Source organism: Homo sapiens, chromosome 3 (assembly GCF_000001405.40).
Source record: "Homo sapiens chromosome 3, GRCh38.p14 Primary Assembly".
NCBI classification, from domain to species: Eukaryota; Metazoa; Chordata; class Mammalia; order Primates; family Hominidae; genus Homo; species Homo sapiens.
In genome coordinates, this window is record NC_000003.12 from 191,950,542 (window position 1) to 191,966,685 (window position 16,144).

General features: G+C 37.2%; 1 pseudogene, besides 2 other annotated features; it reads right to left on the reverse strand.

The window, feature by feature from the left end:
- On the reverse strand, positions 574–1,406 carry LOC100129725 (PERP, TP53 apoptosis effector pseudogene; annotated as a pseudogene).
- Positions 12,361–13,560: an enhancer, noted in NCBI's record as "P300/CBP strongly-dependent group 1 enhancer chr3:191680691-191681890 (GRCh37/hg19 assembly coordinates)". NCBI's record gives its function as "activates an origin of replication core promoter dependent on BRD2, BRD4, P300/CBP, MED14 and CDK7 cofactors, with strong dependence on P300/CBP, by STARR-seq in HCT116 cells {active_cell/tissue: HCT116}" and the evidence as "EXISTENCE:reporter gene assay evidence [ECO:0000049][PMID:35650434]".
- Positions 12,605–13,313: an enhancer, noted in NCBI's record as "OCT4-NANOG-H3K27ac hESC enhancer chr3:191680935-191681643 (GRCh37/hg19 assembly coordinates)". NCBI's record gives its function as "activates a minimal SCP1, AML or CMV promoter by ChIP-STARR-seq in primed H9 embryonic stem cells {active_cell/tissue: H9 hESC(primed)}" and the evidence as "EXISTENCE:reporter gene assay evidence [ECO:0000049][PMID:30033119]".

The window sequence follows — 16,144 nt, forward strand, 5'->3', positions numbered from 1 at the left end:
TTTAATAACATTTGTCCTTCCATGGAGTACACATCTTAGCACAGAATGAGGAAACTTCATGGCAATGTGTTGTCATGGACAGCTTAAGCCATGGACAATAGGGGGAAGGTGGTAGATGATAAGCAGAAGTCATGTAGCACCAACAAGAACCCAGAGATACAAAATCAGATAGGTAGCAGCACCAGGTCCTGTCTGAGACAAAAGAGAATGGATCAGAAGTTGAAGAATACCCATAGTTAAGAGAATCTAGAAGTTTCTATATGGATTTGAGGACCTCTATTTTTTTTTTCTTCAAGCACATGGTAAACTCTCTCATGCACCTAACTATCAATTTGGGGGAAAAAAACGTGCATATTTTTGTGAGGTGTGAAATGTTTGAAAGACTGAATATTTATCCAAAAGAGATTGAGTCTTGCAACCCTAATAAAATAACTTATTCAAGCAAAGATCAACAGTGGACATTGAAACTATTAAGTGAAATGATGAGAGAGAGCGGGATAACTGCATGAATGCAAAACATGAACCCATAAAATATCTGGTTGCAAGGGGAAATGTAACTATACAAACTCTTTTTTTAGAATACCTCATTTATGGGGAAAAAGTCATAATTAAAATTTCAATTGCTTATTCTACAACTTACAAAATAATACTTTGATTTATAAAATGAGTTCGTTTTCATTATGTAAGTACAAATGGTAAAAAATAGTAATAATCAATCCGATATATCATACATATGCCTTTCAGAGAAACTCACATCCCTGTTGCATGGTTTACATCAGACATTTTACATCTCTTTACCAAAAAAGACCAGATTTTTAACTATATGTAGGTGTCTGCTTGCAGTTGCAATCTACCAGAAGCTGTGTCTATGTGACTACAACCCAGTTAGGCCTGAGGGAAAAAAAAAAAAAAACACAAGCTGTTTCTTCCTCTTAGGCTGTTTTAATAGCACTCCTGTGATAGGAATGGCCCTTCTAATGCTTCACTACACAACCTAATCAGGACTATGAGTCATGATGAATTAGACCCAGTACATCTTTCAACCCAGTCTACTTTGGTTCTGAACATATAGACACGAAACAGTGCAGATTTATTTATTTATTAATATAGCATTTTCCCACACCCTCACCCTTTAAGAATTTTAAACGAGAAAACTTCATCTAAACATTTTACTGCTTAAGAAGGCCTTACCACTGCAACATGTTTTGGCCATGAGACAATCATTTCCTAAATGGCATGTAAAGTCAACATGAAGCTTAGCAAAACCAATTAATTATTCAAGATATTAATGAGAAATTCTCACAAATTATATGTATTTAGGAAACTATTTTGCATCTTTAAACAATTGAAGGCTCACAAAAAATTTTTGTTTTGCATTTCTTTATAGAATATTTGATCAATGACAATTTTTTTACTAATATCTCTCTCTTCTCCTTAGCCCTTAATAGATACAGTCCATTCTATCTGGAAATAACAAAAACTTGATCAGATTATTAAGTCTTGGAGGCTTTTTCATTTTTACTGTATAAAGTGATAAGTTTCATGTTTATATTCTCTTATAAATGTAATATAACTGTTATGGATAGATATAAGGTTAGTGAAAGCAAACATGTCAACTCCAAAAAACATATATAAAAGGTGAATATGAAATTATAACACAATATTTTCTCCCAAATTATTGTAGCGTTTTCTACTAATTTAATAATGTGAACACTGCCAAAAAACAGGTTGGAAGTCGCCTAGGGAAACAGCCTCCTCCTCTGGAGTCCTTCTCGGCAGCGTCTTCTCCGGGTCTCCTCCCCAGCCAGGCGGATGTGGAAGTACCTGGGCTTGGCGCCTCCCAGGAGGTTGTCTTCGCCCTTCGGGCCGCAGCAGAAGGAGAAAGGACAGCCAATCAGGATAATTGTGGCCACCCACGGGAAGCCACGGGTCCAGTGACACATGTGATGTGACGGCGGGGTTGGCATGAAGATTGAAGGTATGGGTATACTTCACAGGGTTGATTACCAGGGAGATGACCTGCAACACAGCAGCCAGGGTAGGGAGGCCTCCAACTCACTCTTAGGAGGACTAGCGTCAGGGGTGCACAGAGGGCAAAGAAGGTGAGGATGAAACAGGTCACCAGCATGATACAGCCACAGAAGAGCATGGCAGCGGCTGCTCTTCCTCCTACGTACTCCACGAGGCTCTGGCAGCCATCCTGCGGGGGGCCTGCTGCCGCCATCCTGGGCATCGCCACGATGGTGAAGGCGATGGAGCTGAGCAGGGGCAGGGGCAAGGTCCAGAGCAGCAGCGCGGCAGGCCCACGTAGCGGCGCGAAGCGGAGGAGCACCGCCCGGAGAGGCTGCACAAACTCTGTAACATAGTAATCCACCTTAGCATCACGAACAGTGGGAAAACTGGAAGTCATGTGCCTTCTAACATAATGCGGTAGGAAGCACCCAGCATCATCCAACGTATTCTCTCTGAAAGAGTTTAACCCAAACGTTGGGTTATTCTACAGGATAATCCGCCTGGTGTCTTCAGCAGGTCAATCAATGGTATATCAAAAGAAAAACGTAGGACACTTCTAAATTTCAAAAAACCTTACAGGCTTAACAAAATTCAGTTGATGTCTTTGATTTGATCCTGCTTTGAACAAAGTCATACAAACACACATTGGGGACAATTAGAGGATTTAAAAAATAGACTGCATAGTGAGCCGAGATTGTGCTACTGCACTCCAGTCTGGGCGACAGAGCGAGACTCCGTCTCAAAAAAAATAAATAAATAAATAAAAAAGACTGTATATTAAGTGGTATTAAAATATTGTTACTTTTTAAGGTACAATAATCATAGAAAATATATAAAGAAAAAATCTGATTTTTAGAGATACATATAAAGTATTTAGGAGGTAAAATGGAATGACGTTTGTGATTAACTTTCTAAAAATAGAGTAAGAAAAAAGGAAAAACTAACTTGCCAAATGCTACTGATTATTAAATTATGTGATTGGTAATTAGGGTTTATACTGTTTCTTCTACTTTTATCTTAATTTTGAAAAGTAATGTACACCGAGACAGTTCAGATAATAGAGAGTGTTTAAAGTTAGTTTACCTATTTGTGTATTTGTTTTGTTACCACATAGTAGGTAAGGGCTAATAAGAAAAATTAGATCAGTTACACACACACACAAAAGAACTGATTTCTTTTGGATGAGTGTGAGTTCTGCATCTTATAGAATTAATGCTGATAACAGTGAAGAGACACACACACTATATGATACGTAGATACCAATTTAGCCCTATGCTTTCTAAGACTCCTATGTCTCTTGAGAAGAACCTCCTCCTAGCATCTTCTCTGATTTATTCTGCATCATTCACTTCCATCTTCACTCCCTATAAATATCTCAATAGGGTGCCCCTTGGGCACCTCAAACCCCAGGAGTTTAAAATGAAATCCAACATAATTATCTCTACTAATCAAATCTTATTAATTTGTAAGATGGTGTATTAAATGACCAGCATGGCATTTGAAATATAGTAAGTTCCTAATAAGTAGTAGTTGCATTATTATTTTAATTATTGATCTCCTTATTGATTAACCCCATTAACTTATTTTATTTCCCTCAACATTCAATTTGATTCTCCACAATGCTTGCCACACATATATCAGGCTATTTTTCCCTTTCCATTTTTACTACCATTATAAGTGGTACATCATGGTAAGAATATACCACCGTCACATACTCATCAGTTCTCATCTATTATTTCTGAATTATTTCAAGTATATTTTACCTTGGATTCATACCATTCATGGCATGGTATAATGGAACTTGGTACAGTGCCTAAGAGCTTGGGCTGTGGAGTTAAGTTGTCTCAATTCAATCCCGACCCTATTATTTTTAGCCGGGCACTAGCTAATTGTTTAACTATTACCTCATCTGCAATGTGGCTGTACTAATAGTGCCTATTAAATTGAGTTATACATATACATCACTTAAAACTGAGTCTGATACATTGTAGGGACTTTAAATAGCTTCCAGAAATAGAATTAATGGTTAAAATGGACCATGAAACACTAATCTACTTTCTTAATTTTAGATATTTATGCAGTTAGCTATTTTTAAAATGTGGCTGTAATGAAAATTTTTGCAACTAAGAATTAGATGCTCAGCTCAAATTTTTATGCCTTGTAAGTAGGTTGTACCAATTTACATATCTGCTTGCAGTTTATAAGAATGTCCATTTCCAAAGAAATTTGCCAAGTTATAATTTTTATTCCTTTAATATTTGACAGATTGATAAACATTTCATTGCTTAAATTTTAATTTCCTAAATTTACAGAGACCTGTATACATTGGAAATTTAATTTTGTGCTGTATAATTCAAATCCCGGATTACAAATAAGAAACTACGGCTGAGAAAGGTGAAGTTACTTGCCAAATGTCACGCAGTAATTTACTCTTCAATCCAGGAAAATGATTCAAGTCTTCCTCCTCCAATCTCATTTGCGTTCTTCACAGGTCATGCTGCTATTGTCAATTATATTTGGATTTAATAATTTTACATTCCCAACATTATGCTGAGCATTTTCAGAGAAGAGTCTACATTTTCTGCTAGCGCTTCCCCCAGTGCTTTGCATAGAGCACTTTTCAAGTAGACATCTATTAAATGATTACATAAATATATGAATCACATGTCAAATAAATAGGAACAAAGGAAATTACTGAGAAGTATTAAGCAAGCCACGTATTTTAACATTTTTATGATATGTTTGTCGCTATGAAGCCACAACATTAATCCACAGATATGTAGAACAGTTTCGTATAGAACAAAATAAAAGGCAGGAATGGGATTTTGAAGATTAACCTGAGGTGGATAGGGAGTCAAAAATTAAGAGCCTTGCTTAGAGAAACATAAACGTGAGCCTGTATATAAATCAATCATCATAAAATGGGGGAATGTGTTTTGGGATTTGGGGGAATTTCTCGTTCCAGTTTAAACTACCAACATATCCTTGTAGGGCATGATTATTTTCCTAGAAAATTGGATTTAGGATCAAGATCAAATGCCCCAATTTTTTCTGTCTTCCATGCAGATGAGTCATGCAGAAGCAGAAAGAGCTCGTGAATCTGTTTGGTATATGGGCGAGCTTACTTTATTTATTCAACACATATTCATGGAACAGCCATTATGTTACAGAAACTGTATTAAACTCAAAGGATAAAACAGTGACCAAAACAGACAATTTCCCTGCTTCAGGGTGCAATATTCCAATGGGAGAGACTCACATTACACAAGAAAACAAAGAAAAAGGCAGTGACAGGATGACATGATACAGGGGAGCCAATATATAAGAGGATTAACTCAGGGCTACTTTAGGAAGAGTTGTCAAGAAGGCCTTTCTGAAAAGCTAATATTTAAGCTAAAATCACGTGAAATGAGTTGTTAACCCTGTACAAGAAAATAGCATGAATGAAGGCCCAGGTGAGGGAAATAATCTGCTAGTTTTTAAAAATAACTACTTCAATAAAACTGGAACTAAGCGTATTTCTAGAGGAGTGAAGGGATGAGACTAGTGAGCTAGACAGGAGGTAGATTAGGAAAGATTGTGCTCAACTAAGGAGCACGGAATTTATTTGCTGACATTGAGAAGCTGTCAAATAATTTGTAGGCAAGAAGTACATGTTCATATCTATATTTCAATACAATCAATCATCAGTCAGGTGGAGAATATACTGGATATGAGGCAATCTAGAACCTGAGAGAGGACTATGATAATTCAGTTAAGAAGTAGTTAAAAAAAGAGAAAAGACTCCATAAGGATAAGACCTAAAATATTGACAGAGGACTTGGAAAAGTTAAAGGAAGAGATGATGAGACACCTAGCAACACTTTGTTCATGTCTCTTTTATAGCAATTATTAAATTGTTCTGGGGTCATTTAGTTTCTGGCCTATCTTCTCCATCAGAACATTGGTTCTTTGCGGTATTGTACTTATGACATGTGTCTGTTTTTTAAAGTACTTGCCACATAGTACTTTACATTTTATCCAAAAAATTTTCATTTTTTGGATAAATGGATTAATACATAAAATAATTTTATGTGGAAACACAATTTTGCTCTGTATTTTTATACTCAGTGCCTCTTGTGATATGTAGAACCACTCCATTTTCCAGATGGGGAAAAATGAGGCTCACTTGGGGAGAGGACAGTCTTCTTACCTTCTCTTTTTGTGCCTCTTTTCTTTCCTCATAACCAAAATAATTTACAGGAAAGGCAGGAACATTCAAGCAGTGATGTACATTCACAGTTCACAGTGATTCCCCATTTCCTCCCATTCTCATTAAGATAACTTTTAAAGATGGGATTATTATGTATGTTTGACTTTCCAAAGTATGACTCTTTGTCATTTTCACAGAATTTTAAAATGTAAAACGGAACAATGGTAGATTGAATTTTCCAGTTCAGTTTATTTTGGGCTCAAGTAGACTTGAGATACTTCAACAAATATTTTCTTTTGAACTAAAGATCACATGAAACTGGAGACTTCTTAAGTTATTCAGTGGCATGAACAGTGGCATTGCAAAAGTAGAATTTTGCACATCAGTTGTTGAAAGTGCAAGGTCTCAGAATTTATAATATGAAAACAAAACATGTAAGTATTGAGAGCTTACTTTGTGCCACGGTTTCTTACAGGCAACCTTTATTTAATTCAAAAAGATAGGATAGCACATGGAAAGCAAAAATGCATGGCAACACAGGGTCCAAAGAAAGGGAGAATTTTAAGAAGCATTGATCAACAATGACAAATCAGCCAACAGGTCATGTAAACCATAACTAAAAATAGCTGTTGGTTAGAGAGACATAGAGGTCCTTCCTAATGAGTTTTTGGTTGTGGTGGTGGAACACATCAAGTTAGAATTACTTGCTGAGGGAAGGAGGGAGGGATGGAGAAGGAGGAAGGGAAGAGATGACAGTGAAAGAAAGAAAAGCTAGAATACTCGCATTTTTTTTATTAACAGTACAAAAATTTTTGACAAAGTATATATAGGTATCCATATATTGACTGATTTTTAAAAAAATAAAATTATATAAGCAAATCTTTATTTAGTAACCTAGGAGAATATTATTATACCCTTTTAAGCTCAGTTTTCTCGTTGATTAACTAGAATTATTATATAACTACTCATGGTACTGTTGTGTGTATTAAATTTAACAATCCAAATAAAATACAGGCATATGGCTTGAGGCATAATAGGCCTTTAATAAATGTTAGTTGTAATTATTTCATATGATCATTATTATTATTTGATAGCTTTTTTCTTTCCTTGTTTCTATCTCTTCCTCAGAAATATCAATTGTCTGTAAGTTTTTGGCTTACCCGCTGGCCGTATCAATGGTGTCTTTCATCTTTTATAGAAATACGCCTTTTTCCTCTCATCCTGAGGGGGTTTCAAGTTTGTGAGCTATATCATTGATTTGATACTTGCAATGAAGATTCATATTCTGCTATTTAGTTTTCAGTTTTCTTTACATATTTGTTTATCTCTTCCATCTCCATTTTCATCAAAGGAAAATTTCCCCTTATGACTTTCATATCCATTTTCATAGAAGACGCATCTTCTTTAATTTTAATGAAGATCTTGATACAGTTTACTGTGGTTTTCTTTTAGATCCAGCAGTAAAACATTTTCTGAAGTTGTGCAATTCCTTTGAATCTTCTGGATGCTGTGTTTGCTCTCTTATTCTGTAGAATTTTCCCTTAAGGTATATGTTGATTTTTTTAATGTTTTTCTTCCATTTTAATAAAAAATTAATTAAATTTAATTGAGTTTATTTTTTCTTACTCATCTTCATAAAAAGACAAAGTCTTGTCATTGGATAACCCTTGGAATTTCCCTGGGTCCACCTGGGGGGTGGTGTAACCCTCCTGAGATCTGTAGCTGAGGAGAAGATGGACATAGGTGCACAGCTCTGCATGTAACACTGAACTGGCTTTTATCCAATTAACTATTGCAGGTAGCATCTTCCTCTGTCTCCTTCTGGCGGGTTCCTCATTAATTTAAATTGATGTAATACATAAAAAGCACAATTGCTAGCAAACATAGACACTTGTGGCTGCCCACTTTTGTTGACTTCTATGGTACTTTTCTTGTGAGGATTATCCCTCTCAATTGCCACATGTCACTGCCAGATCCCAATTCTTATGAGAGACTGAATATACAAATACACCATAGGCAGTCCATATATAAACATAGAATTCTAACCACAAACTGCAGCAACCAACCCAGTAGGCCAGCCTACTACCTACAAAAGCAGCCCAGGAAGCCTACCTACGATTTACAGTGACCAGTTCAGGAAGACGGTACCAGTCCAGGAAGCCAAACACTAACCCCTGTAGCAATAGATCCCAAATAGCCGAGGCTTGATAACTAACAGCCTTCTCTATTTTTGCTCCTGCTTCCAACGTAGGATCAACCAGAGAAAGCCAAATATACATCCTAAACCAATCTCACAGGATGCTCTGCTTCTAGTTAGCCTGCCTTCAACATTCCCATGTCAACAGCCTCTACTCAGGGCGTACATAAAACCTTCTTTTTCTTCCTCTATAAAGCTTCCTCATTCCTCTGTCTGCTCTTGAGTCTCTGTAAAGCACACAGGTTAGTAGCTAACTTCCTTGCTGTAGCAAGCTCTGAATAGCCTTTGTTTGTTCTCATTTGAGTGATCTTCATTTATTTCCTTACTAACTGCCATGTTGAATTCTGGCTACAGAGCCTCTGCCTAGATAAATAAAGATGGATCAACTTATATTTTCGGCAATAATGTATTTTAAAAAGAAAAGCAAGATACATTGTAAGCTAAACTTTGAAAATTTTAGTCATTTGCATCTGCCTCATAATTGTAGTACTAGTTTTTCATTACTTTCAGTTTTCAATTTTTGTTTGTTTGTTTTGTCTTCATAGCTGTTTTAGTGTAAAGTTACAAGAGGGTGCTTAGTGCAGGCACCTTATAACAGGAGTATCTGTATTACTCTTTATAGGTATATACTATTATGATACAAGTTTTAACACACTAAAGGTTAATATGTTTCTAGGGCTGGCAACCTTGACTCTCTCCATGCACAGGCACACACACACACACACACACACACACACACACACACACACACACACACAATCTTCCAGTGATTAATCAATCCTATTATCCAGATCTTTTTTTATTTTTAAAAATTTGCCCTCAAATATATTCATATTTTAGAAAACAGTATTATTTTCCCAGAATTGACCATAAGCTAATTCACAGAACCACCTGGCTGTCTAGTAAATTTTCTAATTAATGGGATGCCTTCTAATTAACAGAAATGTTTATGCCTCACATCGTGCTGTTAATAGCTTTGTAGATTTTAATGAATAAATGAGGACCTAGGACTCATATATATTGTTAAAGGAAGAAAAGCATCAGACTATTTAAAAGCAATGAACAGTTCTTTTTTTCAGTTCTTTCTAATCAACTGAGAAAAGTTAAACTTAACAACTTGTGGTTGCTGTGTGAGTAGTCAGTTTTTCTTTTAACTGCTTTTCACCTCTGCACACAGCCTTGTGTCCTTGAGACACGAAATAATTTAGAGAAGCTCTTTGCTATTCTTGGTAATTCAGCCTTGTTTTTCTATTGCACGCTCCAAAGCTCATTGTGAAACATTTATCCTACTTAATCATGACAATGTAGATGCCAGAAGGAATTGAGTAAAACAGCAGTGCAGGGAGGATCTGGCCCTGAGTGAGGGAGAATCCTGGCTCCTTCGTTCTTTGTAATTTCCATTGCCATGTACTCCTTTCAATATTTTAGTAATATTTTCTTCATATGTGATTACTGTCTTAAGTTATCAATTTGCATTCTGCTCCAATTGAAAATCATTTTTCTTTTCAGCCACATCTCACAAATATGTTACATAGGCTGATGAGATTTATAGGATAATTTCTACATCTCCAATATAGACAGATGAATTTTTTTTTTTTTTTTTAGACAGTTTTGCTCTTGTTGCCCAGCCTGGAGTGCAATGGTTCGATCTCCGTTCACCGCAACCTCCACCTCCCGGGTCCAAGTGATTCTCCTGCCTCAGCTTCCCGAGTAGCTGGGACTACAGGCATGTGCCACCATGCCTGGCTAATTTTATATTTTCAGCAGAGACAGGGTTTCTCCATGTTGGTCAGGCTGGTCTCGAACCCTCAACCTCAGGTGATCCTCCCACCTCGGCCTCTCTCCTGGGATTACAGGCATGAGCCACTGGGCACAGCTTTAGATAGGTGAATTCCTTATCATTTATTTAAATCAATTTGATGTTGTCAATATGTTCTATACTGCATTTAACTTGAAGGATTCCAGTGAAATAGATCTTCTTATCTGAGTTGACATTCACACTGACTCAGAGAATTGTCATTTTAAAAGTAAAATAGCAAGCTTTAAGTCAGCTAGTTTACCATCAGGCTAAGTACTCTATCATTTGATTCCTTCCTCAATATTCCTTCATCTACCAAACAAGTATACAAAAGAGAAGTACATATTTTACTAAGCAGCAATAGTTGAATCACTTGAGTGACATTAATCAATAAAATTACTGACAATGCAAGCTCTGGCAGAAATTATTGTCAAGTGCTTGCTATGTGCTGGGCACTGAGCTAGGGAGTTATAGCTCACAGCAACCACGTGACACAATGAGCATTCTTGTCTCCTTTTAACGGAAGAAAAAGCTGACTCTTCAACTGGACAAGAAATTTTCTCAAGGCCACATAATGTTCAGTCCGCATTCTTACTTTGAATGGGTTGTTATCTAATAGTTCCTGTTAAAACTTTTCGAAAAAGCAAGCAAAAATCTCATGCAAATCGTTTTGTAGATGAAAAAATAAAATCTTAAGCCCCTCGCTGAGTGAGCCCCATTTTGGCCAAGGGGACCCCAGAGAAACCTTAAAAATTGAGTTCCCAGCCATGATGGGAAGGAAAGTCAGACACTCTTCATTATACCACCTCCTTTTTGGAGTTTAGGCACAACCACAGACCAGCATTAATGTTAGAACAGGGATCCTGAGGCTGACAGAACAGACTCTTTGTGGCAGTAAGATACCAAATTATAAACAAAACCTAAGGCCATGCAAGGCAAGTGGTAAGTCACATCTGCAGGGCATTCATCTTGCTAAACAGGTCACATTATAGCTGACTGACACCACATCTTTATCTTAATGTAAACATTCCTTCCTGCTAACTCCAAGTTTTTAGACAAAATTTTGTCCCTTAACTATTTGCAGATTAAAGAGCCTCTGAATCCACTTATGGTTTGTAAGCCCCTGATTTAAGACATCCCATGTTCTTGGGAGGAACTAATGTACACCTTCCATGTATTGATTTATGTCTTTGCCTGTAACTCCTGCCTCCCTGCAATGTATGAAACCCAGCTGTCATCTAACTGCCTAGGATATACCTTCTCAGGACTCTTTGAGACTGTTTCTGTGAGCTGTATAGTCAGTCATACTGGCTCAGAATAAGCCTCTTTAAAATACTATACAAAATTTGTTTCTTCATTAACAATTTAAACTTTACTTCTTAACTACAAGTATGAAAAATAAAGTGAAAAAAGGTGATCGAAGGGAGAGATTGCATTGCGTTCACGTACTAGCTCTTTTAAAAAATCGTTTTAATTTAAAATATAGTATTTCTTTGCAGAAAGGATTGAAAGATTAGTCATAGAACATGGCACCGTTCAAATGAAGCCTGTTTAGGAATCAAGGTTGACTGCCTCCAGAATCTGTTATTGTAAGATTTTATTTTGCCTCCCCAATATGCTAACTCTGTACTTCTTATCTTTGTTGGCTTATGTAAGTTTCTTAGATTCCATGAGCCTCAGCTTCTTCATCTGTAGAATGGAGATCTTTGTTGTGAAGATTAAATCAGATTGTGGCTTTCAAGTGCTTAGCAAAGCACCCAGCATCTACTAAGCCTTCCATAAATAGTAGTTAAGAGCTTTGGGATTTTGCTCACATTGTTAGCCCATTCCTTTCCTTGCTTTGATTTATTCCCTATCACAATTTTATTGTGGATATAAAGATAAGATTTTGTGTTAATATCTAGCATGGTATGACATAAGGAACGCTGGGATGAGGGAGATTAGACCTCATTTCCCCTCTCAGGTTTTTTCCCTAATCACTAAGCTTTACCTGCGCTCAAATTCACCTGTACGGAAAAATAATGTAGGTATAATGAGTTCTGACAACAAATACTCAAAGTTAAGCCAAACTTCACAGGCTTTGGGCACAATCTGCCATACTGACGCCCTCACTTCAGACACCAGACACAAGTTTAGGAGTCTTCAGGTCACCCTCACTTTAGACCAGCCGGCTACAATTTCAGGGGCTTCCATTGTTCTCTAGGTTTGACAACATGCTAGAAAGATCCACAGAATTCAGGAAAGCACTATTTTTATGATTTCCATTTTATTATATCAAAAATGATACAAATCAGAATTGGCCAAAGAGACAGATGCATAAGGCAAGGTGTGGGAAGCTCTCACTTGCAAAGCTTCCATTGTCACCAAGGATGCATTACTTTTCCAGTACATCAATGTGTGACAGTACATAGAGGAGTGCCAACCAGGGACACCCACCTCAGCTTTGATGCAGAAAGTTTTTATTGGGGTTTCATTAATAAGTATGACTTATTCAGTCATAGGTCACACAGTTGAACCCAATCTCCACAGAGGTCAGACTGATATCACATGGCTCAAAGCCTCAAACACGGCATCACCTGGTTGGTCTTTCTGTTGTGGCCGGCCCCCCATCCTGAGTCATTTCCTTAGCATAAGCTATCTAGGGGGCCCCCGCTGTGAGTCACCTCATTAGCATAAAGTATCAGATGTGGTCCCACTGTGAATCACAAAGACACTGTGAAAAATTCCTAGGATTTAGAATTTACCTCCTAGGAAGTGGGAACAAAGCCTGGCCAAATTCTCTATTACACAGTAGGTAATATAAAATATGCTCTCTAGGAGCATGCTCATTCTATTTTCATATACCTCATCTTAAAATACAGATTCCAGGAATATTTTTTAAATGGAATAATCATAAAAAGACAGTAAAAAAGTATGTGAAGAGGATGTTCTTTCTTCCATAATTGTCTTCCACAAAGTAGGCACAGAAGGAAGACACGATTGGCATCAGAAACACACTCTGGCTGGGGGAAAAAAAAGTAGCTGGAAAAGGTGGCAGTGAATAAATTATGTCCAATCATATATTCATCTATTATGTAAAGCTTCAACCACATGCTATTATTAATCAGTCATATTGATAGAACTATATCCTGGTGTCCTTTTGTTTGTTTGTTTGTTTGTTTTTTGAGACAGAGTCTCCCTGTCTCCCAGGCTGGAGTGCAGTGGCGCAATCTCAGCTCACTGCAACCTCCACCTTCTGGGTTCAAGTGATTCTCCTGCCTCAGCCTCCCGAGTAGCTGGGATTACAGGTGCCCCACACCATGCCTGGCTAATTTTTGTTGTTGTTGTTGTTATTTCTTAGTAGAGACAGGGTTTCACCATGTTGGGCAGGCTGTTCTCGAACTCCTGACCTCAGGTGATCCACCCAACTCAGCCTTCCAAAGTGCTTGGATTACAGGCGTGAGCCACTGTGCCCAGCCTGGTGTCCTTTTAATTGTGTGCCAAAAGCTTTAGAATTACAGTAGGTTATGGGACTTGATTCCTCACATCTTTCATTCTTAAATCTTGTGATCCAACCCTTTTCCTATACAAATATTATTGGGCAGTAATAGGATTTTCCACCTATCAGACCATAAAAAGTGTCAATACAACACATGAAACTTAAACATATTGTTTTGTTTTTCAGCTCTTTCTAAAAAAAAAAAAAGACAAAAAAAAAGCAACCTGTTTCAGGAAAGTATTTTAAGCATATCATAACAACTTAAATAACTTACTTATTACCATAAACAGTCATATACTAAATCATCACAGCTTTGCTACTCTTTACCATCAAAAGATGTCTTCTCTGTTTAATTTCCCAAGCTTATAAGTAGAACATCACCCTGCTGTACATATAGGTATATAGAGGTGCATTCTTTGTGATAGGAAGTGATTAATATTGCAAAGAAAATGGACATCATCCTCCACTGAGATGATCAATTAAAATGTAATGCTTTCACACTTGTACTTTTGTTTGTAGAGAGATGCAACGACTTAAAAAAAGCATTCTCTGTGCAATTTCTTATGCAAAATGCTCTTAGATATAATATACTCAGAAGTTTTAAAATACTAATTGGCAGTGTAATGCACTGTTTGTATGGAAAAAATATTTCTAAGATGTAATATAGAACCAAATGAGAATAAATGATTGGATTTTTTTTTCAGTCATCTTTTAAGCCAATAGGTAGCCAGGCTAAACTAGTCTAGGTCCTAGCAACAAAGAGATATGGAATGTCTTGTTCTCCTTGGACTCATCTTCTGTTGAAGAGGTAGACATATTTCATAATTTATTCCAATCAGTTTGATGATGATAACATGTTCTATGAAGCAACAGATCTTAATGATCCCATTCAGCTATACCTCCATATTTAATTTCTTATGAAGTTGACACAAATACATGTGTTATTGAGGTATGTGATATGGAATGTTCTAAGAGTTTTGGATGAACTAAAAGACTTATTCTACCTAGGTGCTGTGAGAAAATCCTTCAGAATGAGTGTTATTGGAGATGAATCTTGAAGGATGAGTAGTAGCTGCCTAAACCAACAAGGGATGAAGAATATTTCAGTGAGGGGTAGCTTGTGAGCAGCATGAGCATAAGACATAAAAGAATGGCCAGGCGCAGTGGCTCATGCCTGTAATTCCAGCACTTTGGGAAGCCGAGGCGGGTGGATCACCTGAGGCCGGGAGTTCGAAACCAGCCTGACCAACATGGAGAAACCCCTTCTCTACTAAGAATATAAAATTAGCCAGGCATGGTAGCGCATGCCTGTAATCCCATCTACTTGGGAGGCTGAGGCAGGAGAATCACTTGAACCTGGGAGGCAGAGGTTGTGGTGAGCCGAGATCGTGCCATTGCACTCCAGCCTAGGCAACAAGAGCAAAACTCTGACTCAAAAAAAAAATAAAAATAAAAAAGACATAAAAAATGAACTTTCAGGTAATGTAAGAAGTGGAGATAAATTTAACATAACCAGGAACTAGGATAGATTGAGTTTTGAGTTTAGATAAATGCTACCTGAGGAAATAGAGGAATATGAAGAAGGTCACTGGTGATTTAGAGAAGTCTCTGCTTCTAATTTGCTGCAAGAAATATACAGCAGGAAGCTCACTGCTTCCATCTCTCATCGAAGGTTCAGGACCCTTCCATGAGCTGTTCCTGGAGCCTTCTTGTGTGTGATCTCCCACAAAAGCCACACGATGAATTAGTTTACAGTGACAGGAAATGAAACAACATACAGAAGCCTTCCTTCATTCTATATCTCTCCATTTCTTCCTGTTTTGCAGCTTCAGCCAATTACTTCTCTGTCTCCAAGCTTATTGGGAACTTTCCTGTTGCTGGACACAATTCCTGCCTGGAATACTCTGCTCACCTTCTGCCTCAGGGGTCAGCTCCCCAAACCCTGTTTCTCTTTAAAGCCTTTCCAAAACACCCAAACTAAGATGAATCTTTTTTTGTCCTTTTGCATTACTATCTCACATTTGTCGAAGTAGATTCCATTTGTGCATCTATTTCAACAGATCACTCTCAGTCTTATGTCACAGTAAGTGTTTGCTTCATAAATAATAAAACTTTCAGGGGAGGTCACCATGTTTGGATCTCCAGTGGTCCCTACAACCATGTATGGCACATAAGGGATCTACAATGTACATCTGGTCAATAAAAATTAAGCTGCTGAAAATTTTTAATAAAATTTTCAAAGCAGAAATCATGCCTCTATAATAATTTGACGTTTTTGGACATGTAAGGCAGCCTTTTATACTATATATTAAGCTTTATTCTAGACTTTCACTAAAAATAGAGACATACTATCAGTTAATTGGGCACAGAATATTCAGGTACAGGCTTATGTTTTTTGACACTTCAAACTATAAATTCATTTTCCATTTTCAAAGCCGTAAACCATGTTCTCTGATATCTGGTTCA